Raw genomic sequence first — 24942 nt, forward strand, 5'->3', positions numbered from 1 at the left:
CCAGCAGTGTAGAATATTCAATCTCTTTTCTCTCCCATTTCAGTCATTGCATCTCCCGTCTCAATGCTCCTGACTCCCTCTTTCACTTACAAGGACCCTTGTGATTACATTGAACCCACTTGGATAACCTAGGATAATCTTCCTATCTCAAAATCCTTAACTTTATTATATCTGCAAAATCCCTTTTGCCATGTAAGGTCGCATATTCATAGGTCCTGGGGATTAGGATGTGAACATCTTTGGGGGACCGATGTTCTGTCTACTACAATGCTAAATCTTGTCTTCTTCCTCTAACAGGCAACTGGATTTAAAGAATCTCTTCCAGTATCTGGTGAACCAGGAGAATACTAGCTAGGACAGACTTAGTAAGAAAGCAGGAACGAATCCTTTTTATTACCATGAGAGATCTTCTTTTGTTAATGTATAAAGCCCAAATAATCAAATGAATGGATGGATTTTTGGGAAGGTAACAAGTACACATACAATAACACAATGCATTTTGGGGGAATAGGATCACAGGGAGGTTAGTTTGAGAAATGGAATCTGAGTCACTGTGTTCATTTGCTGGAAAAAAATGCTACAAGATGGTTTTTGTGCTTACTTCCACTCATTTTTATTCCCTCGCCCTTCTTCTCCATGTTTTTTAAGAACTCTGAATTGATGCAGGTCTGTGCTGTACACTTGCTTTCATTTTATTCTCCATCTATTTCTTGGTTTTATAATATTCAAATGAGGATAAGAATATATAAAACTCAAATTGATTACAAATTTTACTTGGCAGTAGCATTCTGAATGCTTAAAAGAGATGAATTTTATTATTAGCTGAGGGATTTGCAAATATTAAGAATTATAGAAAAATTTATTCATGCTAATGGCTCTGAGCCTATGATATGTGTATTGGTATGCTATCCTGCACACAAATCCAAGCTGGATTATAGATCATGTATTTAAGTTTGACAGAATTTAGTTTATCATTCTCCCAATGTAGTTCTCAATCAATTTTTTTTTTCAAGAACTAAACAGTTGACTTCTTTTTAATGCATCCAGAATAAAGCAGCAAGGCTATTGATGTATCACCTGAAGTGTGCTTGCCTTCTTGAAGCTGGTATCTATGATTGCTTCAGCTTTGCAGGCTTCCATGGGACTCACCAGCACACTTCGCCTGGTTCTTAGGTGGCATTAAATGAAGGCTTCTTACATTGATTTTAGCAAATTTCAAAGAAAAAATAATAAATTCTGGTTTCTCTGCTCAACAGTTTAAATTATTGTTAACCTTAGAATTTATTTTGTGTCACAATAATACACTGGACTAACCATCTGGGAATATTATGGATATTTTTATTGTATATGCAGTATGAGTCAGTTCATAACAGAAAAAGGCATCTCTTTGTTGTTTGGCTTTTCCTTCATTTATTTACTGAGCATAGTGATTTTGTTTGTTGTTGAACAACTGTCCTTCTTAATAGGTAGCATCAGAATTGGAGTTGTCACAGAGCCTGGGGCCAGATTGCTGAGCTTCCCTTCTCAGCTCTGAAACTCACCCACTGTCTGAACTGGTGCAGGTTTTAGAACCCGTCTCTGTTTCCTTATCTGTAAAATAGAGATAAAAAATAAAATAGCCTCTATCTCCTGGTATGATTGAGAATATTAAATGGATTCATATTCTGACACATAGAAAGCACTTTATACATGTTTGCTATGAAGTTTTCACTTGTAAATCATTCTTTGAAGTTCTTTATCCATTATTCAATATTAACATTTTTTTCTGGCCCATCAGTGTTCTTTATTGAAAACAAACACGCGTATTTATTATAATTATCATTTTCCAATTTTTATTTTCTCGCATAAATTTTTTTTACTTTGAATTTTTATGCTTATAAAGTCCATTTGAAATCATTTTATGAACTACTTCTATTTCTCCAAAGATTCATAATTTTTAAAAATATTTAACTCTTTAGCCATCTGGTATTTCATTTGCAATATGCTGTGAGGTGGGGATTTCTTAATGTTTTCCTCAAAATCTTTACCCAATTTTCCCAGCACAATTTGTTGATAGTGCTTCACAGTTTCATCCCCTTTCTGCATCTTTCTCTCTAGCACATATTCACATGGCCAGCTCTTTCAGGATTCAGTACAGATGTTCTATTTTCAGGATGCCTTTCCTGACACCTGCCTCACTAACATACCCAGGTGGATTATGTCCCCACTATAGGCTCCCAACTCAACTGGTACAAACCTATTACACATTGGCTATAACACCCTGTCTCTCCAACTATACTGAAAGCCCTGAAAGATAGTGAATGTATCTTATGCTTTTTGTAGATAACCAATATTTGTTTAGTGAGAATGAATATAAATAAACCTTATCAATTATATGATTACTTATACAAACCTTATTAATTATATAAGTAATTATATAATTCAAAATCATTTATTTTTGAACTTTCATCTGGCAAGATGTAGAAAGATATGTTAAAGTCACCCGCAGCTATTATTTTCCCATAAAGGTTTCCTTTTCCTTGTTATTAATGGCCTTTTACTGTTGCTGTACTGTGCTAATTAGCATGTAGTGGTCAACAGTTATTCCAGCTTCATAGTGGGATGGTATCTTTTAGCTATGGAATGGTCTTCTATCTCATTTAATATATGAATAATTTGTTTTTAAGGATACTTTGCATGAAAGTAGCATAGTAATGATGACTTTTCTTCATTTATATTTGCCTGATAATTTATTGTCCAATATATTTTTTAATTGTAGGGTTTGTTTTGCATCTATTTATTGCACATGGTACACCATTAGATTACTTGTTTTCATCCTTCGATGTGAAGTTTGACCTCTGATTATTTCTATGACTAATACTTTTAGTTATAAATAAATAAATACAACCATTTTTATGTCTACCTTATTGTTTAGGTATTATATTTTGAGGGCCTTCATTTTCCTTTGGGCTGCCTTTGTTATTACATGGTCTGTGTTTGACTTTTTGTTGCCCTCTCACATGGTTATCAACTTGGACCCATGTAGACTCTGGTTCACAATACTAAAATTTCAGTAACCAGTAATTGGTTCTCTAATTACCTTTAGTGTTCGGCGTTGTAAAGGAAATATCTAAGGATATCTGAATTTTGTTTCTTTACTACAGACACTCTTCATGTATCTGGATAACTGCAGAATTTTTCTTTTTCCATGAACTTAAAATGTTCACCAGGATTTGCCAATGTGTTGGTATGTTTAAATTAACTTTATTCCTGGATTGTGGTAAATATTTTCAATCTATGCCCAAATTTCATTTTTGGCAATTTTTTTTCTTCTAGTATAACTTATTTCTTCTATCTACTTCCCCATCCTCACACTGAAATGCCTGTAGTATGGATTTTCCTCTGTTTTCCATCTTCGCCATATTTCATATTGCTGCTAATATGCTATTGATTTTCTTTTCTGTACCATATATTATCCTATTTACTGCCTTCAATGTGTATTTTAATTTTCAAAATGCTTGAATATCTTTAGTTCTTTTCTCGTCTTTGACAGATGTCTTGTCTTCTGATTTAATATCGGCCAAGTCTCTGCTAAAAATCAGACGTGGCTCATATCAGCCTCACAACCCGGACACTGTCAAGTAGTCTCTGAAAGAAATAAGGAGTTCAAAGTGCTTTCCATTTTGTTCTGCAGACTTTTGCATTGTCCACAATGGGAAGGGAGAAGGGAAAAGAAATGAGATGACTCACACAAATTTAAGCAATGTTTAAGCCACTTTTAAAGCACCTAGTATTAATGTATCTCTCATCCAGTATTGTCAATTGTATTGTTACACCGTCATCCTTTCCATAAGACTGTCCGCAACTACAATTTAAGAATGTATCTCTCATATTTTGAAAGTAATAGGAAATATTTACATTTAGAAAATGTGATGAGATGCAATCTGGCTTTAGAAATAAGATTGTGACAAAGATTGTGTCAAATAAGATTGTGACAATCACAAAATAAGATTGTGAACCCAGACACAGTAGGTGTCTTCTGCATAGTTTTTTTTCAGGATCTGACATTATTTTTGAGCAACACATTGACCCTAGCTCTATGTATCAAGCCATTGACCTTTATTTCCAAATTGTAACTCTATGAAAATTTTAGGATCATATTTATAACTTATTTCAGATTTTTGGATGATTGCTTAATAGGAAATGAGGATAGATTTTTCACTTCTTAATGTTGTAAGAACATATCATTTTTATAAATCACTGAATTCCAAATTTGAAATTTCTTGTACAGCTAGTTTAGGATGGTTCATAACAAATCTATCAATGATCCTTTTGAAATATTTCTATATATTAATCTGTGCATATCCATAAGAATTCTTTATCTGATTATATAAATTGTAAAATTAGGAGAAAATTCTAGAATGTATATTACATTGACTATTCCTCACTGTTTTCTGTCTCTGACATCTTACCAACTTCAAGGAATCACAGAGGGGTCGCTATTCAATCCTTTCTGTTACGGAATGCAGACCTGTGAATAATTGGTCAAGAAAGGAAGAGTGTTCTGCCTTATAAATATTGTACCAATGTGTGTTTTTTAAATGTTTTAAACATGGACTCTCCATAGAAAGTAAAATTCAGGAAGGCATAATGAATTTCTGTAGCCTGGTCAAATTTTATTAATAGATTTAGTTTGTTTTTAAAAACTGCAGAAGAAAAGCATATATGTTTGAGGCTTGAGAAAAAAAGATCTCTAGTCACACAATTTCTCATGATTTAAGAATGTAGAAATGGGCATAAGTTGGATCTATCTATAGTATATGACTTTTTATATTATATTGAAATTAAAATGTAAATATTTTTTCCAAGAACCTCAAAACCCTTAAAAAAGACATTCTTATCCTTGTTATCTAATAGCCATGATAATAGATTGTATTTTTTAGTGTTTTATTTTCTTTCAAAGTGCCTCTCTATGTTTTTTCTGCTTTGTGGGATGTATTTTATTACACAAAGAATGAATATTTTGAATAGATTATAAATTATTTTCTTATATGTGAATAAATGCATGCTTTCTATGTTTAGTGTGCAATGAATTCTAAGCCCAGCTATACCATTAACTCAAGATTTGGGAGAATTCACTGAACTTCTTCGGATTTTGGATTACTCGTCTGCACAATAAATTACCTCTAAGCCTCAGAGACAAAAACTTGCAACAAAATGATTTTGTTGTATTAATATTTATAATGCTTTCTAACAGAAATAGTCATTTGAAAATTTAATTTTCCCCTTCCTCCTTTTCACAGAGTACTTTAGCCTTTTAGTTTGTTCCTTTCCTGTCTGACTTGCATGCTTAATGGTTTTATCATTCCCTTTTTTTTGAGACGGAGACGGAGTCTCGCTCTGTCGCCCAGGCTGGAGTGCGGTGGCGCGATCTTGGCTTCACTGCAAGCTTCGCCTCCCGGGTTCACGCCATTCTCCTGCCTCAGCCTCCCGAGTAGCTGGGACTACAGGCGCCCGCCACCATGCCTGGCTAATTTTTTGTATTTTTTAGTAGAGACGGGGTTTCACCGTGTTAGCCAGGATGGTCTGGATCTCCTGACCTCGTGATCTGCCCGTCTCGGCCTCCCAGAGTGCTGGGATTACAGGTGTGAGCCACCGCGCCCGGCTGAGAGTCTTTTCTATGATGGCCATGAGCAATGGAATCCAAATCAGGCCACTGATTTCTTTTTGACAAATAATATTGGGCATTTTGTCATTAAAAAATGATAAAAATCAAATATTTGAAAGCTAAATACTATTTGTAAATTTTAACCAAAAAAAAGCCTGAACTTCTATTAAGATTACCAAAAGAATGGCATCTTTTATGGATAACACACAAAATAAAATTTATATTTTAATGTAGAAAAACTTTAGAGTGTTATGTTCAATAAAATCTATATGACATTCATTCACATCAAAGTAAGAACAGCACAGCTGAATGTACACTGAATTCATCTGTGCAGATAGAGAAGCCACAGGGAAAAATAAAGAGCTTTTCCTCAGCATGTGAAAGTCTTTCAGTGATTTGTGGGAATCTCTTTTTATCAGAATCAAGTGGAGGAGTCTTTTGTATGGCTATGAGGTTTTGGATGACAGGTGAATTTCAAAGATAGCTGGCATTTGTCATAAACATAATCAACATTGTACAATCAGCATTCATATAATACCATGTCTTATTCCTTTATACTTTGTATCTTTGTGATAGTATGTTAAGTATTTTTACTATTTTAATTACAATATATGAAAGTGTTTACTGAATAAGAAGTCTCTATGGAAAACCAAATACTCTAGGAAGGTGTCAAAATGAAAATGATTTTTTAATTTTTTCTAGGCCACAGAAATTGTTCTCAACTGCTGTTGTGTACATAAATCTTGAAGATGCTAATAGAAAAAGCAAGCAATTCAATAAGATGGTTCAACATGGGGACTCAGAGTTGAGGGAGGAGAGAGGAAGAACAGGGCACAGAGGGAACAGCTTGGCTGTCTTTTACTAGAGGTTATTTGGGCCTTGGTTGATAGTGATTAAATTATAACAACCCAAATAAGAAAGTACTACAAAGAGCCCTACCCTGTAAGTCCCAGAAACTACCAGCCCTAAGAGTGAAGGCAGGAGATGCATGAATGAGTGATGCATATACATAAACTCATATACAAAAGCACATGTATACATACCTATAACATGCCCTTGAAATGATTTTGGAATCAAAACCATCTAAGAGTGAATAGTAAACCACCAAGCAGAAGGATGACAACAAAGATCACTAGATTAAATAAGAAAAACTAGTTTTGAGATCAGTTCTGGCATACGTAAGCTAAATAGTTGTGGAGAATCACATAACAATGGAGGGTCCTTATGTTCCTTTCACATAAGGAAACATTCAGGCATACGTTTTCTTCTGCCTAAAAGGAGTTGATTAGATTGGGTTAGGTTCGATGATCTCTAAGATCATTCTGTTTCTTACAACTGCTATTCTGTGATTGTGCAATCAGTCTTTAACACTACTTCCAGATATGTAATTCCTCCTACCCTGCCTTTTTGCCAAGTAGATGGCTTCATGGGTAAATATCAGGCTCTCTGAAATGGGTGCCTGACAAAGCTGTTTCTAATGATACTATTACTTCTTTCTTATGTAATACATGCCCCTAAGAAGAAAAGAAAAAAAAATCCACAGCCTATAATATTCACAATATTTGCATATTTTAGCTGGACATATCTCCTTAAAGGTTGAGGGGTGAGGAGAGAAGAAAGGAGCAACCCTTAGACTTGTTAAAGATTTTGTCAAACCATATTCAAATCTGCCGCTTGTTAAAGGTGTGATCCTTGGAAAGTTTTTTAATAGGCGTGACTCTCATTTTCTTATATAAATTTTTAGAAATAATATTACCTACCTTACAAGATTGTTAGAAAAGTAAATTTGAAAATGCACACAGAATTTAGCATACATTCAAAACATAGTGCTTGAGGAATGTTAATTGTTATTATATATCTGTTACTAAGTTTTTCTCATCACAATAATTGCAAGAGTTGGGGGGATAAATTTTTGCTGTTTACCTAAGTTTATGCTGTTATACACACATTTTGTAACTTTGCTTGAAAGCTTGAAGGAGATGACCATGAGACATTGAAAATATTGTGAAATGCTACAGTCCATTTTACGAGATCAAGTATTTTAAATGCTTCACCATTTATAAGGTGATGCTGTTTTCTTCTTAAAGCTTAACACACATGTGTAAGCATGCTCTGTTTGCTTTCAGCGACTGCTGGCCCTAATAAGCCTGAGAGTGGATTTGCAGAAGACAGTGCTGCTCGGGGCGAGGGTGTGTCAGACCTCCACGAAGTGGTCTCCCTGAAGGAGCGGATGGCGAGGTACCAGGCAGCTGTTTCCAGGGGTGACTGCCGCAGCTTCTCTGCTAATGTAAGCTGCTCCTAATGGTTTTGCACTAGGCAATGTGCTTACTGTCTGTCCCAATTCCCTCTTTATATTTGAAATGTAAGAATACTACTGGACAGGGGGCTAAAGTAGAAAGAGCACAAAAATAGTGTGTGAAATAAATCCAGACTATCTGAATTTAAGTTTCAACTGTGCTACTTATTACTTGTGTGAATCTGAACTACTATTTTTATTTATTTTTTATTTTTTTTGAGACAGAGTCTTGCTCTGTCATCCAGGCTGGAGTGCAATGGCACGATCTCGGCACCCTCCACCTCCTGGGTTCAAGTGATTCTCTTGCCTCAGCCTCCCGAGTAGCTGGGATTACAGAGCATGCCACCATGCTCTGCTAATTTTTGTATTTTTAGTAGAGACAGGATTTCACCATGTTGGCCAGGATGGTATCGATCTCTTGACCTCGTGATCCGCCCGCATCAGCCTCCCAAAGTGCTGGGATTACAGGCATGAGCCACTGTGCCCAGCCCTGAACTACTATCTTAACTTCTCTCTGAGCTTCAGTTTCCTTGACTGAAAAATGGGAATCATCATTTATCACACAGAGTCTTGGTGAGGAATCAAAGAGACAATTTATGTGTAAGCCATAAGGCGCTGTATAAATGTGTTATTATTATCATCATTAGCACTTAACCTGTAGATATTCTCCTCAGGAAGGTCGGGAATTAATTTCAAATTTTAATAACATGGGTTTGCACGCCACCCTCCTTGGTCTCATATATGGTTCATTGAAATTCACTGGCAGTATAATTTCTTTGGCTTTTCTCGTTTCTCTGTATGCACTAAATCCATTAGGAAAGGTTTAATCAACATAAAAATGAGAGAGATTAGCAATGTAGACACTCTGCTAAACCAATTATGATTATAGGAAACTGCAGGATTCAGTAAGACCACCAATTTTTAGAGCCAATGCATTATAAAGTCATATTCAAAAGAATTTTGGGGTTCTGTATTCTGTGGCCTTCAACTTAATGGAATATAAGAATGTTCTTTTATAATTATAATCTCCAAATTAGCCTAGTTGTGTATGAGAGAGGGAGACAGAGAAAGAGAGAGAGAGAAAAGCCAAAAAAGGTGGTGTATTAAAATAGCTACACTTAACATGCTTCTTTACAAATTATTTAGAGACAAGGCTGACTGTGCCAAACTCATTTAAAAAATGCAATTCTAGATGACATTTAGGTTTTCACATAGTCATTAAAATACATTTTAGACACAGCTTAGATTTGGAATAAATGTGCAGAAGTGACATAAGTATCTAGATCACTTCCAAAATAAACAGTGGCACTATAGTACCTCCTGCCAGTCTTCTTCGATGGCACCCCCTACTGGATCATTGAGGAACTTATTCGTGTTCTAAATTAGAGAAATGATTCACGAGGAAACAGTTGATTTTGAAAATGCCTAAAGACTGGTTATTTAGTAAACAATATTTGATTTAGGAAGATTGACCTTGCCAGGTACTAAGAGAATACACATTAAAAAAGTGGTATCAAGGCATGATATATATTTATGATGTGTTTAAAAAGGGAATGTTTACATTGGACACATAGGGAAATTAAATGATCCCATTATTTAATACAAAATCAAAAACTTTAGGGCTAATCTCAAAATGTCTACATATAAAGAATTTAGTAATCTTCTCTTCCCTGCAAATTTTATAGACAAGAAAAGCAAGAGAAAGTTACTTATAGATTATAAAATTAGGTAGTGAGGAGGCCAAGCTAGATTCCTAGTCTCTTGACTCTTGTGCTCTTCTAACTGAATTCAACTTCTTCCTCTTCCCTAAATGAGAAAGTATTTTTGGCCCCCAAAATACATATTATAGTATATGGTTTGGCCCTAAGCAAATATTGTGAGAAAGAAGAGCACATATATTATCTCAGCAGAATCCTGGTAAATATCTAAAGCAAAGCAAAATAATTGTTTATTTAATCATGTGCATGAAATGCTTGTTCAAGCCACCCCCCCACCCCCCCACCCCTCTGCACACACACACACACACACCAAAAAAAATCATGAAAACTGCCTGTGACTAAATCTGTATCTCCACAATTAACCCAAAATTTTAAGTGCAAAATCTGAAAGTCACAGAATCAGACCCAAACTGAATCTACTATATCTCAATCATATTTACACATGTAAAGACAATATATTTTCCTTGTCTCAGAGTCAATCAGATGGCATTTGGTTGTATCTAAATGAAAGTTATGCCCATGAAACAGTGGTGGTCTATAGAAGCCCCCTAAAAGAGAGGGAGAAGTAACACTTGTTGAGCAATGAATTAAAATGCCAGATTCATTTTCAAGTCTGTGCAATTTTATTCCCTTTACCTTTTTTAATACTCACAATAAATCTGTGAGAAAAATATTTCTATGCCCAGTTTATAAGAAAGAAAACCAAGTTCAAGAGCTGTAGCCCAAGGTTTTAATTGTCAGGGCTGGAATTAGAAGCACTGTCTGTCCAACTCCCAAAATTATGTTATTTCTGTTATGCCCTATAAACCAAGAACAGTTTTTTTGTAAAAAGAACTTGAGGACTGTGTAATATATTTACCTAGATTTAACTGTTAGGTGTTCAAATTAGCATATTATTATCAGCACACCCATTAGATTCCAAACCTTATTGCTGAGCCAAATAATAAGAAACACAGAATAATAATAAACATAAAAAGTTTCAACACAAAGCAATTTCAGTTATGGGGTCAATGATAACAACATTCATTAGTTGGGATATTTAGAGCATGACACTAAATAAGGTAAAGTCACAGGAACGGTCCCCACCTGAGCAAGGAAGCATTACTCCCGGTTATGACCACAGACTGCTTCTTGGGCAGGTCCTGCCATCTCACATGTGTAAACTTTCATCTACCCGCAAGTGGAACAAGGAAACCTTAGCACCGCCACTGAACCATATTTCAGAAGATTTGTCTCACTTGGGTGAATGAGCAGCTGCAGTAGCGTAATGATAGTACCAGGGGTAGCAGGAATGGTATTAGTACTACTATTAAAAATAATCCGCGGTGGCTCACCCCTGTAATCCTAGCACTTTGGGAGGCTGAGGTGGGTGGATCACCTGAGGTCAGCAGTTCAAGACCAGTCTGGCCAACATGATGAAACTCCATGTCTACTAAAATACAAAATAGAAAGGAAGGAAGGAAGAAAGAAAGAAGGAAGGAAGGAAGGAAGGAAGGAAGGAAGGAAGGAAGGAAGCAAAGAGAAAGAGAAAGAAGGAAAGAAAGAGAAAGAAGGAAGGAAGGAAGGAAAGAGAGAGAGAAAGAGAGGGAGGGAGGGAGGGAGGGAGGAAGGAAGGAAGGAAGGAAGGAAGGAAGGAAAGAGAGAGAGAGAAAGAGAGGGAGGGAGGGAGGGAGGGAGGAAGGAAGGAAGGAAGGAAGGAAGGAAGATAGCCAAGCATGATGGCGGGTGCCAGTAATCCCAGCTACTCAGGAGGCTCAGACGGGAGAATCACTTGAACCCAGGAAACAGTGGTTGCAGTGAGCCGAGATCGTGCTGCTGCACTCCAGCCCGGACGGCTGAGTGAGACTCCATCTCAAAAAAAAAAAAAAAAAAAATCAACTGTATGAATTTTTGCATGTGTAATGTAGTCTGTTTCTAAAGCGCAGGAAAGTAATGGGTATATCTGTTTTGTTTTGTTCTTTTGAGACGGAGTCTTGCTCTGCTGCTCAGGCTGGAGTGCAGTGGCACAATCTCGGCTCACTGCAACCTCTGCCTCCTCAGTTCAGGCAAATCTCCTGCCTCAGCCTCCCAAATAGCTGGAATTACAGGCATGTGCCACCATGCCCGGCTAATTTTTGTATTTTTTTAGTAGAGACGGGGTTTCCCCATGTTGGCCAGGCTGGTCTCGAACTCCTGACCTTGTGATCCACCCACCTTGACCTCCCAAAGTGCTAGGATTACAGGCATGAGACACCACACCAGGCTGGTATATCTGTTTTTTAATCCATTTTATAGATGAGAGGCAACCTGTCCAGTATAAGAATTGATCTTTTTGTGAAAATGCATTTACCAGGAGAGCATCCGGTCATAAGCATAATACTAAGGCTTGCCAGATTAATTTGCACATGATTGGGACATCAGAATAGTTGTTTGAAACAGCAAGGTTCTTCTTAATAATTACCTTAATGTCTATAATTTGATACTTATAGATTATCTATATATAATTTATCCAGGAAAGCCACTTATATAAATTAAATGGCAGAAGGGGTAAAATAAATATTGTGGCCTTAATTCACCCTTCCCCTTTTTCACTGTATCTTAAATTTCAAAAGGGGTGCTGTACATTTTTCTGACCTTAACATATATCAACTAGAAGTAATTGATTAAGATTTGCATTTAAAGTTTGTTGCAGAATTTGATACAATATATACCTAGTTCATAGAAGAGCACAATCATCTCTTCTCAAAGGGCCACCACACATATTTTGAAATATTTGATAGTCCACATAAATGAGGAAACGTTATTAACTTAGTAAAGCAACAACTTGAGTACTTGCTAGTAATTTAGATAATCCTAATATTAGTCTATAATATTCTGGAGTATGGGAAACCCAAACCCCAAGATAGGCACTACATTTTTAATATCTATTTGAAAGACTACTTATTTGGTTAAAGATCCAGGACCCCCAAAGTCCCCAGTCCATGGTATAGAAACCTCTCAGCTCCTGGGTCCCCAGTTACTTTCAAGGTCTTAAGGCTTTGAGGGTTATGTCAGGACTGGGTCAGACCTCAGGAGACCTGCTCTGATTTGAAGTATTGCCAAGTCTTCCAGTTGCAAGCAGACCTAGAATCTTCCGGGAGGAGGGAAGGCTGGCATGGGGCCTGTTTCCTTGAGAATTATCCCATCTGGGCTTGAGTGCCTGCTGGGCTCTGGAATGTGCTGAATCATCAAAACCAATGCACCTGAGCTACTTCTGCACTTCCCGAAGGGGCATAGGTCTCACAGGACTACTCAGGTGCTTTTCAAATTGCTTCCAATGATACCTATCAAAATTAGTTTTCTATGGAACAGAACAGAGCCCTCAGAAATAACGCCGCATACCTACAACTATCTGATCTTTGACAAACCTGAGAAAAACAAGCAATGGGGAAAGGATTCCCTATTTAATAAATGGTGCTGGGAAAACTGGCTAGCCATATGTAGAAAGCTGAAACTGGATCCCTTCCTTACACCTTATACAAAAATCAATTCAAGATGGATTAAAGATTTAAACGTTAGACCTAAAACCATAAAAACCCTAGAAGAAAACCTAGGCATTACCATTCAGGACATAGGCGTGGGCAAGGACTTCATGTCCAAAACACCAAAAGCAATGGCAACAAAAGCCAAAATTGACAAATGGGATCTAATTAAACTAAAGAGCTTCTGCACAGCAAAAGAAACTACCATCAGAGTGAACAGGCAACCTACAACATGGGAGAAAATTTTCGCAACCTACTCATCTGACAAAGGGCTAATATCCAGAATCTACAATGAACTCAAACAAATTTACAAGAAAAAAACAAACAACCCCATCAAAAAGTGGGCGAAGGACATGAACAGACACTTCTCAAAAGAAGACATTTATGCAGCCAAAAAATACATGAAAAAATGCTCATCATCACTGGCCATCAGAGAAATGCAAATCAAAACCACTATGAGATACCATCTCACACCAGTTAGAATGGCAATCATTAAAAAGTCAGGAAACAACAGGTGCTGGAGAGGATGTGGAGAAATAGGAACACTTTTACACTGTTGGTGGGACTGGAAACTAGTTCAACCATTGTGGAAGTCAGTGTGGCGATTCCTCAGGGATCTAGAACTAGAAATACCATTTGACCCAGCCATCCCATTACTGGGTATATACCCAAATGACTATAAATCATGCTGCTATAAAGACACATGCACACGTATGTTTATTGCGGCATTATTCATAATAGCAAAGACTTGGAACCAACCCAAATGTCCAACAATGATAGACTGGATTAAGAAAATGTGGCACACATACACCATGGAATACTATGCAGCCATAAAAAATGATGAGTTCATGTCCTTTGTAGGGACATGGATGAAATTGGAAACCATCATTCTCAGTAAACTATCACAAGAAGAAAAAACCGAACACCGCATATTCTCACTCATAGGTGGGAATTGAACAATGAGATCACATGGTCACAGGAAGGGGAATATCACACTCTGGGGACTGTGGTGGGGTGGGGGGAGGGGGAAGGGGTAGCATTGGGAGATATACCTAATGCTAGATGACGAGTTAGTGGGTGCAGCACACCAGCATGGCACATGTATACATATGTAACTAACCTGCGCAATGTGCACATGTACCCTAAAACTTAAAGTATAATAAAAAAAAAAAAGAAAAAAAAATTAGTTTTCTCATTGGTGAAATGACAGTGATAGATTAGAACCCTTCTAATGTTAAAGCCCCCTGATTCTGACATGCCTGTGCTCAGAGCTGATGCCTGGGGTGTGCTAATCCTGGAGTAGTGTAGCTGCTGGTTTTCTGCCTGTTCTTTGAGGACAGTAATGAAGACAGACAGATGTGGATTGAAATTCCAGGGCCAGCACTTCTGTTCTAGCTGTGAGAACGTAATAACTGTCTTACTTCTCTAAGTCTCAATTTCCTTATTTTAAAATGTGGGTAATAGGTGTCCATATCTCACAGAATGACATATTCTGTCATTTAATACATACAAAATCACATAAGTAGTCTCATTATTCATATTAATATTTTTACATAAGGAATATTCTGAGGCTATTTTGTTCATCCTTAATAATTTTAAGTTTTTGGAGTAAAAATGATTTTAAAATTATTCTTAATAATGTGTTCCCTATATAGATGTTTGGGATTTTAATGACAACTTTATTGAGGGTTAAAATTGAGTCCATTATTCTTATACCCACTAGTCTGTATATTACAGGAGAAATACCGTGCAATCTAATAGGTCTTATCTGCAGACATCAAAATTTATCTGAGATTAGAAGAATTAACTCAATACTTTGAAAATTCTTCTGACTTTATATCAAAAGACTGATAAATGAGAAAACAACCCAGAGAGAATATATTTATTAAGGTTTTTGTTAAAGACATACTGAAATAATGGTGTATGTGAATATCTTTTTAAGATACTGTCTATCAATAAATGTCAACTATTTTTAAAATAGCTTCAGAATCCCATCCTGCACAGCTGTAAAGCTGAATTTTCCTTTTTCTTAAATCATCCTAGATGATGGAAGAATCAGAAATGTGCGCAGTGCCTGGTGGTTTGGCCAAGGTGAAGAAACAATTTGAGGACGAAATTACTTCTTCCCGTAATACCTTTGCTCAATACCAATATCAACATCAGAACAGATCTGAGCAGGTAATACTACTACAGGTGATGGGTAAATCAGGCATGGTTGAAATGCTCTCATTTTGGTGCCAATGTAGAAATCTCCTTTCTTTAGTGATACATTTATTTTCATTACTCATTAACAAACACTGTAGCTTTGAAATGTTCTAGAAAATCATCTTTAAAGCATATATATGTATTTATTTACTTACTTGAAGCATTTTTGCCAAATTTCTAGAGACTGTGCTGGACATTCTACCTCTCATCTTCTAATGTTTCAGACATAAATGAAAATTAAATAGTCTAGGTTAGACAACAGGTAAATTGAACTGTTGAGAGCAATGTTTATACTGAGCCTCTGCTTCTAGGTTATAATTCATAATAAACTAGCTGCTGGTTATTTGCATAGATTAAGTTGGAAGCATTATTCAGCTGTTTATTGTGGTGGGGAGTTTTCTGTTTTCTTTAAAATCCTCAAACATTGAATAGTAGAGCCCAGATGTTACATAAAACCACATAATATGACCTCCAAATGTTATCTTATATAAATTTTTTTCCCATTTCATTGATTTCATTATTTCATTATTATATATCACAAAATACTGTCATGAGATTTAGTGATTTTTGAATGTGAGAATCTTAGTAATAAAACTCATCAGACTTTGAAAAATGTTAATAGTAATTACACTGTAAACAGGTGTACTTAGGCCCATGTTTTCCATGAGGAAGGAGGCAACTGAGGTATTTCTTAAATTTTGTAGTGAGAAATGAAGTGGATGTATTTTTTTTTAATCCCCGGGACATATAGAGTTGCCTAAATTTTTTTAAATGAAGCAATTGCGTGCTATGTGTGGCAGGGGATGAGGCGGCATATCAGGTAGAATGATTAAAAATCTCATATGTGAAAGATTATTTGTTTCCTTTTTCTGGCTCTGGCTGCAAAGTTAAAAATGTACAATATAGGTAGCTCAATAAATTTATGGCAAGATTTCTTTTTAATATTACCTAAAGGAAACTTAATATAAATAAGAAATTAAGATTAAGATACTTGTGATCTAATACATAACTGTTGCAATGTAGGAGTCTTTGAGTGTAGATGTGTGTGTTTAAACTGGTCAACAATACAAAATATTACTATCATTAATAGTTTAAATAACAAATTCTACATAGAAATATCAGTAATGAATTTATAGATCCTTCACTTTGAAGGGAAGCAGTGGGGACTATGGACTATGGGGCTTGTGGATCTGGGTTTACACACCACCTCTGCTACTTTTCAGGGTTACACAGACCCAGGGCCACCTTCATGGATGTGTGACCTGTGCAGTTGCACAGGGTCCTGTACTCCAGGCACTTTGTTTAACACTCTTCTGTCTCCATTTTAAAATTCTCAACAACTTTTGAACAAGGGACTCTACGTTTTCATTTTACGCTGGGTCTGGCATACTATGTAAACAGTACTGCACAGACCAAATTCATAACCCCCTCAGTCTTCAGTTTCTGATGAGTAGGATGGAAAAACTGTTGAGTGATTTGCCTATCTCATTAGGTTACTATGGAGGTTTAATGTGACAAAGAGCAATTTATGTGAAAATATTTCCATATCTGTGAAACTTGATATTGGTTAAGACTCTTTAATACTGCAAAAGACAGAAAACCCCCCAAAAATGGCCTAAACCAAAAGAAATATTACAGGTTTACAAAAAATAGTCTTGGGGAAAGGAGATTTGATGTAAGCTCCAGTGGAGTACCAGAGCTGGCTTGTATCAACTCTCCAATTATTAAATTTTGGGGAGTTTTGGAAACCAGACACTATCTTGCTAACAGCTTGAAATCAGCCATAGTGAGAATATTTACACCAGGAAAATTGGCAAATGCAACAAATCCTTCCTTCCTTCCTTTCTTTTTTTTTCCTTCTTTCAATAACACTGTCAAATATGTATCACCTTATCATTGATGTAGGGGCTTAAAGTATGGTCCTAGCAAAGTGGCTAAGATCACAGATATTGGAGCTAGGTCATTTGGGTTCAAATTCCTGCTCCTTTATTTATTAACTGTTTGACATTAGACAAGTCTCTTAACATCTTTGTCTCTCAGTTTCCCTAAGTATAAAGTCAATAGTATGACAGTATCCACCCCATGGATTTGTTTAGAAGAATAAATGATTTAGTATTTGTGAAGTGCTTAACACATTGCCTGGTCCATTGTAAGCTCCACACAAATATTTGTTCAAACAGTAAACAAAGTATCACCTTTATCAGATTTCTTCTTCTTAACCTCTCAGAATCACTTCCACTGCGTTGGCCCCATTCTCATCCAAGTTTCCCCCAGGTTGTAGCAAAAGGAGTGCAGAGAAAGTAAGAATCATTTTCCCAGAAGTCCCAAGAAAAAGGCTTATAGCATCTTGTTGGCTCCGAATGGAATATACATGCTCCTTACATATCTAATTGCTGTAGCAAGAGGATGCTGATTGGCTTAGACCTCTGTACCTTGTTTCCCTAAATGGAAGTTCTCAGCATATGGTTTTCAATGAAGAATATATGCTGGGTAAAAACAAAATCAAACAAAAATATATATCTACTCTACGGTCCTTGCAAATGTAGTTTATTATTATAATATATGTAGTCCCTGCTCTGCGAATGTGTATGAAAGTAATAAAAATCATGCCCTAGAATTCTGAATATTTGCATGAATCTGGAGCTGTAGTGACTTCTCTAAACTTCAGTTTCATTATCTACTTTTAGATAATGTTAATAATATCCGATAATTCCATGAGGATTGAATAAAGTTAAGCCATAATGCAAGGCAATATAAATACAATATAAAAGAAACACAGGTAAGAATAAACTAGTAAACACCATTTGTTGAATGAAGACCGTATGCAGAAGTCTGTAGGAAAGTAAAAGAAAAAGTCATTTGTGGCCAGGTGCGGTGTCTCATGCCTGTAATCCCAGCAGTTTGGGAGGCCGAGGTGGGCAGATCACCTGAATTCAAGACCAGCTTGACCAACATGGAGAAACCCCATCTCTACTAAAAATATAAAATTAGCCAGGTGTGGTGGCGTATGCCTGTAATCCCAGCTACTGGGAGGCTGAGGCAGAATAGCTTGAGCCCGGGAGGTGAAGATTGCGGTGAGCCGAGATGGTGCCATTGCACTCCAGCCTGGGCAACAAGAGCGAAACTCCATCTCAAAAAAAAAAAAAAAAAAAAAAAAAGGAAAAAGTCATTTGTGTCTTATTTTAAATGGCCTTAATTTGTAATCCTTATTGGAAAATTGAGATAAATGTCAAATTTGGCTATAGCAGGGAAAATGTAGAAAAACTATGTCTTAGATAGTCCAACTTTTAATGCTATCTAAGTGCATTCTAAAAATCACTTCTTTTATCAGCAGGGATTTTGGACAAGATGTTTGCTGGTAAACACAGGTAGTTTATTCTGTCTTTACCTAAGATGTTGTCAATTCTGATAGTGTTTTCAATCTCTTTGCTGTTGAAAGTCCTTGAGATTTATTTCCCTGCTATTTGCCCCTGGCCAAAAAATATTTATTTTTTTGACATATAGTAATTAATATTAATTTGGAAATCAAGTTTAATTAGAGTTAAAAGAAAGAACATTTGTTCTGGATTTCTGACAATATTTAATGCCACAATTAGTAATAACTTAATAAGGTATAATAATAAAGTCCAATCTGTCTGTTTGCTTCCTAATGTACTGAAGTCAGATGTTTCAGGGTAATTAGCTGACTATTTGGTAACAGTTTGTCTGGGAGATCAGCAATTGGCCTAAACAAATTTTGATAATTAATCTATCTCTGAGATTAAAGATCCCTTCTTTTGCTAATGGATTAGACTGTTTTACATCTAATGGAAGGGCAGTTCTGAAATAGAAAAAAGGGGTGCACAATATAAGAACATTTATTTATGCCAGACATTTTAAACTTAGGATGATGTCCCATGTATGTATTCTAGACTTGCCATGCTTTTATAGTTCTGCCTGTTAAACAGTTAGCCATATTCCTGCTAGCCGGCAGAGTATGCCTATGAAAATTAGGAAAAGGAGCCACTCTGGGTCTCTGAAGGAGAGAGTTAGGTGGTGGGAAGGGTTGAGCTTCTTCAAAGAATAGGTTGGGGAACCTTTATTAGGTTGCCTTTGCAGTTAATACTAGCCATTTTTAACATTACCCATTTCGATTTTGTTTTTCATAACAACCATTAATGCTTCCAGTAGATATAAATTAAACCCAACCCTCTTTAAGGGATTATAAGTCACTCAGCATATCTCCTGTTTTTGTTTTAGGATTGAATTCTCAGTGTTTTATGCTAGTGAAAATCAGTAGGCCCTCAATGCTAGAATGAAAAGGACAACTTGAGAGGGGTGTCTTTTTATCCACTCACTGTAACAGTCTCCATTTGGGAAAAACATTCTAAATAATCCATCTACTCAACTTTAAAAGGGTATCTCTAGATATGCTGGAACAGATATTAGAATAAATTTGCTATTGATGTAAAATTGCCATTGCCTCTCTCCTGAGTTACTTTTCACTTGCCCACTCTATGGTTTCTGTGTGGTTATTTTTAGGACTTTCTTCCTCTTTTTTTTTCTTTTTCCTTATTTATCAGCTGTGTTAAGATATAATTTGCATACCATAACTTTCACCCATTTTATGAATACAGTTCAATGATTGTTTAGAATATTTACAGAGTTGTGCAGGGTCACCACAATCTAATTTTAAAATATTCTCATCCTTGCAGAAAGAAACATTGTACCTATTAGCAGTCTAGGACTTTCTTTGTGGCCACATTCTCACACTTAGGATTTGACTTTCATCTTCTTAAGTGAATTTCTTTTTCCTTTTCTTTCCTCCATATTTATGCAGTACTGAGGAGCTCTTTGTGTATTATTTTGTGAAGCCCCAGAAGCTTCTTCTTTCCTCAAGTTGCTTTTTTTTTCCTAAGTAGCATAAGTAGGAAAGAGCAGATGGAGCTCCAAAAATTTTGGAAGTAATAAGTGCAATCCAGTGCTGAGGTATTTGCTTTCATATGAAATTGCTGCACTGAATCTATATCAAGAAGAAAAAGCATTCCTGACCTTTGCCCTGCCACTAACTCTGATGCGCTGAGTGACAGTATATATCTTTCCTCATATATCTGCTATTGCAAAAATTAAAATGTAAATGCTAGGATTCTGTAAGATTATGCAGATTTGGAACAATCTCTAGACAATGCTAGGTCAATAAAAAACATTTTTGACAGCTTGTGACAGATATAATCTGACTACTGTGTGTTTTAGACTCTTTAAAGGTGACCTATAATTATTTTCCAGCAAACTAAATATATTTTTATCAGCTAAATGTCCACATTGCAAAACATTTCTCATCTAAGTCCTTTAAACCTGCCTATAGCTCCCTGCCACGTACATAATTCTTCAAGGTCGTAGATTGCTATTATCAGCCCCAACCTAACCTAGATCTCTATCAACATACAAGGTTGTGACCAAGAATGTATCTTGTATTGTCTTTTAATTATGAGCACTATTTTAAAGTGATTCTTATAACTTAAAGTACCAGCACTCAAAATGAGGCAATCTGGAGTAGTAATTGGGGCTGCTGGCTCTAGAGTCAGAGAGACTGTGTTATAATCCCCTGAGTTACCCATCTATTTTAATCCACTTTGTGCTGCTATGACAGAATACCAGAGACTGGTTAATTTGTTATAAAAAAGAAATTTGTCGGCTTTCATTCCCGGAGGATGAACAGTCCAATGTCAAGGTGCTGGCATCTTGTTAAGGACCTTCTTGCTATGTCATAATGTGGCAGAAAGTGAGAGGGTCTGAAGGAGCAAGAACAAGAAGGGGGAACTCACTCTCACTCCTATCATAATGACACTAGTTCACTCATGAGGTGGTGCCCTCATGACTAACTACCTCTTAGAGTTCTCACCTCCCAATACTATCACAAAGGCAAATACATTTTTTGATATTTTGAGACAGGGTCTTGCTCTGTTGCCCAGGTGGTAGTGCAGTGGTGTGATCTCAGCTCACTGTAACCCCTACCTCCCAGGCTCAAGCAATACTTGCATCTCAGCCTCCTGAGTAGTTGGGACCACAGGCATATGCCACCACGCCCAGCTAATTTTTGTTTTTGTTTTTGTTTTTTTTTTAAGAGATGGGGTTTCACCATTTTTCTCAGACTGGTCTCAAACTCCTGAGCTCAAGTGATCTACCGACTTGGCCTCCCAAAGTGCTGGAATTACAGTCATGAGCCACTGTGCCCAGGCTGGCAATTGCATTTCAACATGAATTTTGAAGGGGATAAACCTTCAAACCATAGCACCATTTAATTTCTTCTAAAATAATAACAGGTCATTTTAAGAATAAAATGTCCATATAAATCTTTTAGTATATTGCCTAGCATATATTAATTGATTAATAAACCCCAGCTATTATCATTAAAAATATTGACCCTTAAGCCAAGAGGGGACATAATCAAGTGGCAATTATTCTCAAAATAGCGTATGATTCACAAATGTGTATGTAAAAAGACAAAGAAGGATTATCATGTTCTGTGCCTCACACCTTGGCTTTCTTTTCTGTTCTTTAGCCCTGGGAGATAATAGTTTTTTAGGAGCTCCATTATCCAAAGATTAGCTTGAAATGAGCATACCTGTACGTGTTTTGAGCATATGTCATTGTGGAGTAATCAGTAACTCTAGTGTGTGTTTTAAAAATTATAATAGCAAGTCTTCTTTTGAAGAAAATTGTTTAACCCCAACTATAATAAATGACAAGATAAGGTGGACCAAGAAAGAAATATGCTTCAAACACTCTATATAGGTATGTTGGAGCCTCACAATAAATAAAAATTTGTTTTCTTAAGTGGGAACAAATAAATAGCATAGCATTGCTTTTGAAGACTGCTTTATTTATAGTATAGTGGCAAGATACTACTGAAAGGAAAACAATATAATTAATATACAAATTGAATTAGGTAGGAGAGGAAAAGCTATGCTGTTTGAAAAGAAGAGAAAAAGAGGAAGAGTTGAAGGGATGTTGATTTTTTTCAATGCTTACAAGTGTGAGTGTTGCATATGTGGTTTCTCAGCACATTTTAGTTGATGTATGGAAGGGAAAGAAAAGGTAGAGGAAAAATCTACCTTGTAACATTTTCTGGTTTGTGCAGTTGGAACAATGAAGGTCAGTATATTTCTATAACGGTCTTAATAGAATAAAGCCAGTGTCTGATCAACATGCTCAGAAATAAGGACCCTTATTTGCCAGAGAACTGTTGCTTTTTTTTCGACACAGGTGATGGAATCACATAGACCTTTCTGCAGATAGGCCAGCAAATACTCATGAACCTTCCACAGGCTGAGTGATCATAGCAGGGTCTCAGCTTGATCTCAAGAAAACAAAGAACAAAAACAGCACAAACATTGTTCTCAAGAGGCATATAAATAAGGCTCATAGACAGATTAGATTCAGCAGTCTTACTCTGGTAAAAATTAAAATTCTCATAACAAATCTTTCACTGAATTTTTCCTTCCAAATCTAGGCCCTTTAATCTGTTTATCCTCTACAGCTCTTTCTTGGTGCCTGTGGCTGAGTGGGCTTTGATGATGAAAAGAACACAATAAGATTAACTTTTTAATGCTGAAGCGGAATTGGAAGACCAAGAGTTTGCTAAATAGAGCAAAATAGCCTCAACCATTTATCATCAGTAATATTCATACAGCCAGATCTGCACGAGCTGGTTGATGCAGAATTCAGATGACTGAAATTATCTATTAATGGGACGTCTCAGTTCCTGACTATGCCATACAGCAAATCAGCTTTGCTCTATACTAGTAATTCGGTTTTCCTTTCAATTCTGCAAGAAGTGGAAATGCAAACGCAGATCCCACTGGGGGTTTGGAGATACATATTTCAGGAATTGACTTTTTTTCACTACTCTTGCATTCAAAATTATCTTTGCCATGCTCATAATTGCCCATTTTATTACCACTTTTCAAAACTGTGTCCATGGCGCTGCTTCCTTGCCATTTTGCAGCTGGTTTTCTCCTACTACTCAATCTGTGTCTCTTCTCTTCCTACCCACATCCACCTTCCCTATAGCTCTGTAGATTGTGGCAGGATCCCATGCTCTTTTTTGTAGAAATTGAATCAACAGAATTATATTCTATGAAGAAGATTCTTGCTCAAGTTATGAAGTAAATTAACTGCATTTAGAACTGCCTAGACCAACTGTGTGGAAAACAAAAGCAAAAACACAAAGCAACCACACGAGGACTTGCACTTCTCAAGATGAAAGATAGAAAAGCCTTTTCTTCAAGCCCCAACAAACCATTCATTTTTCCCTTGCCCTCATAAAAGCCTGCATGAGACTGATCTCTCTAAAATGCACCCCACACTCTTCACAAAGCCCTACTCCCACTCTACCCAGGCTTCTTTGGGTTATGCTACAGGGATGTAGTGGTAGCAAGTTTCGAAGAGTTCTCTGTCTGTAGGTTCCCACATCTCTCTGGGCCTGAAACAGGGCATCTTTTCCAAGCTTCCGAAACATCACCTCCTACCCTTATCATGACTCTACAAAGATTTGGAATCAAATCATCCTCCTTGTTCAGCTGGGGCATGGAATCCCAGTGGGAACTCTGAGCATTTAAGCCCTCTTTATGCCGGGTTGTACACTGGAAATCCCCAGGCGGCCCAGGTAATTGATTTAATTGTTCTGGAGCATGATCAAGGAGCAGGGGGATTTGATAGCTCTCTAGGTGATTCTAATGTACAGCAATGACTATGACAGTACAAACATAAGGCAGGATTTGCTATCCCAGGGTTGACCTCTCCCTTCTTGATTTCTGATCTGAGGCTTATTGCGTGCACACGTCATTCTGTTCACACTCTGATAGCAGGGACCTTCTTCTTATGTTGACATTTCTCTTGAGATAACTACTGCAGTCAAAAAATAGAATAGGAGACTGTGAAGAATCCAGAGAAAGCAAAGGCTTAAAGAAATCATGGTAAAAATAATAAATATTAGCCAAGCAAACAACCAATTTACTGATACTCTAATCCCAGGTAATTCCTTTGCTGGTGGTAGACTATATTGAAATAGTAGTTTCTGCATATATATGACATATTAGAATATTAAAAATAAACTAGCCTATAATCCCAGCACTTTGGGAGGCCAAAGTGGGAGGCCAAGGTGGGAGGATCGTTTGAGGCCAGGAGTTAGAGACCAGCCTGGGCAACATAGCAAAACCCCATCTCTACAAAAGAAAAAATGTTTTTTAATTAGCCAAGCATGGTGGCTGTGCTTGTAGTCCCAGCTACTCAGGAGGCTGAGGTGGAAGGATGACTTGAGCCCAGGTGTTCAAAGCCACAGTAAGCCATGATCACACCACTGCACTCCAGCCTGGGAGACAAAGTGAGACCCTGTCTCAAAAAAAATTTTCTAATAAAATAAATGATAGAATGATATAAATTAACTGAAGGAAAATATGTTAAAACATTAAAAGTAAACAAAACAATCAGAACAAAAATAAAGGAATTTTTTTAATTTATTAGATTGATACACCAATAATTAATTAAGACTGAAACTTTACTTCATTACAATTTTTTTTGCAATCTTTCATTAAA

General features: G+C 36.6%; 1 protein-coding gene across 6 annotated transcripts in view; it reads left to right on the forward strand.

Annotated features, from left to right (window-relative positions):
• Positions 1 to 24942, forward strand: part of XIRP2 (xin actin binding repeat containing 2) — a 371274-nt gene that overhangs the window by 314482 nt on the left and 31850 nt on the right. For 5 of the 6 annotated variants that reach the window (NM_001199143.2, NM_152381.6, NM_001079810.4 and 2 more), the window contains 2 exons: positions 7774 to 7934; positions 15205 to 15339. In NM_001199143.2, coding sequence (NP_001186072.1) covers positions 7774 to 7934; positions 15205 to 15339 — 296 coding nt within the window. The remainder of the gene's footprint in view (positions 1 to 7773; positions 7935 to 15204; positions 15340 to 24942) is intronic. The other variant, XM_017003309.2, reaches the window with a different exon arrangement.

The sequence above is a fragment of the Homo sapiens genome, chromosome 2 (assembly GCF_000001405.40).
Source record: "Homo sapiens chromosome 2, GRCh38.p14 Primary Assembly".
Lineage (NCBI taxonomy): Eukaryota > Metazoa > Chordata > Mammalia > Primates > Hominidae > Homo > Homo sapiens.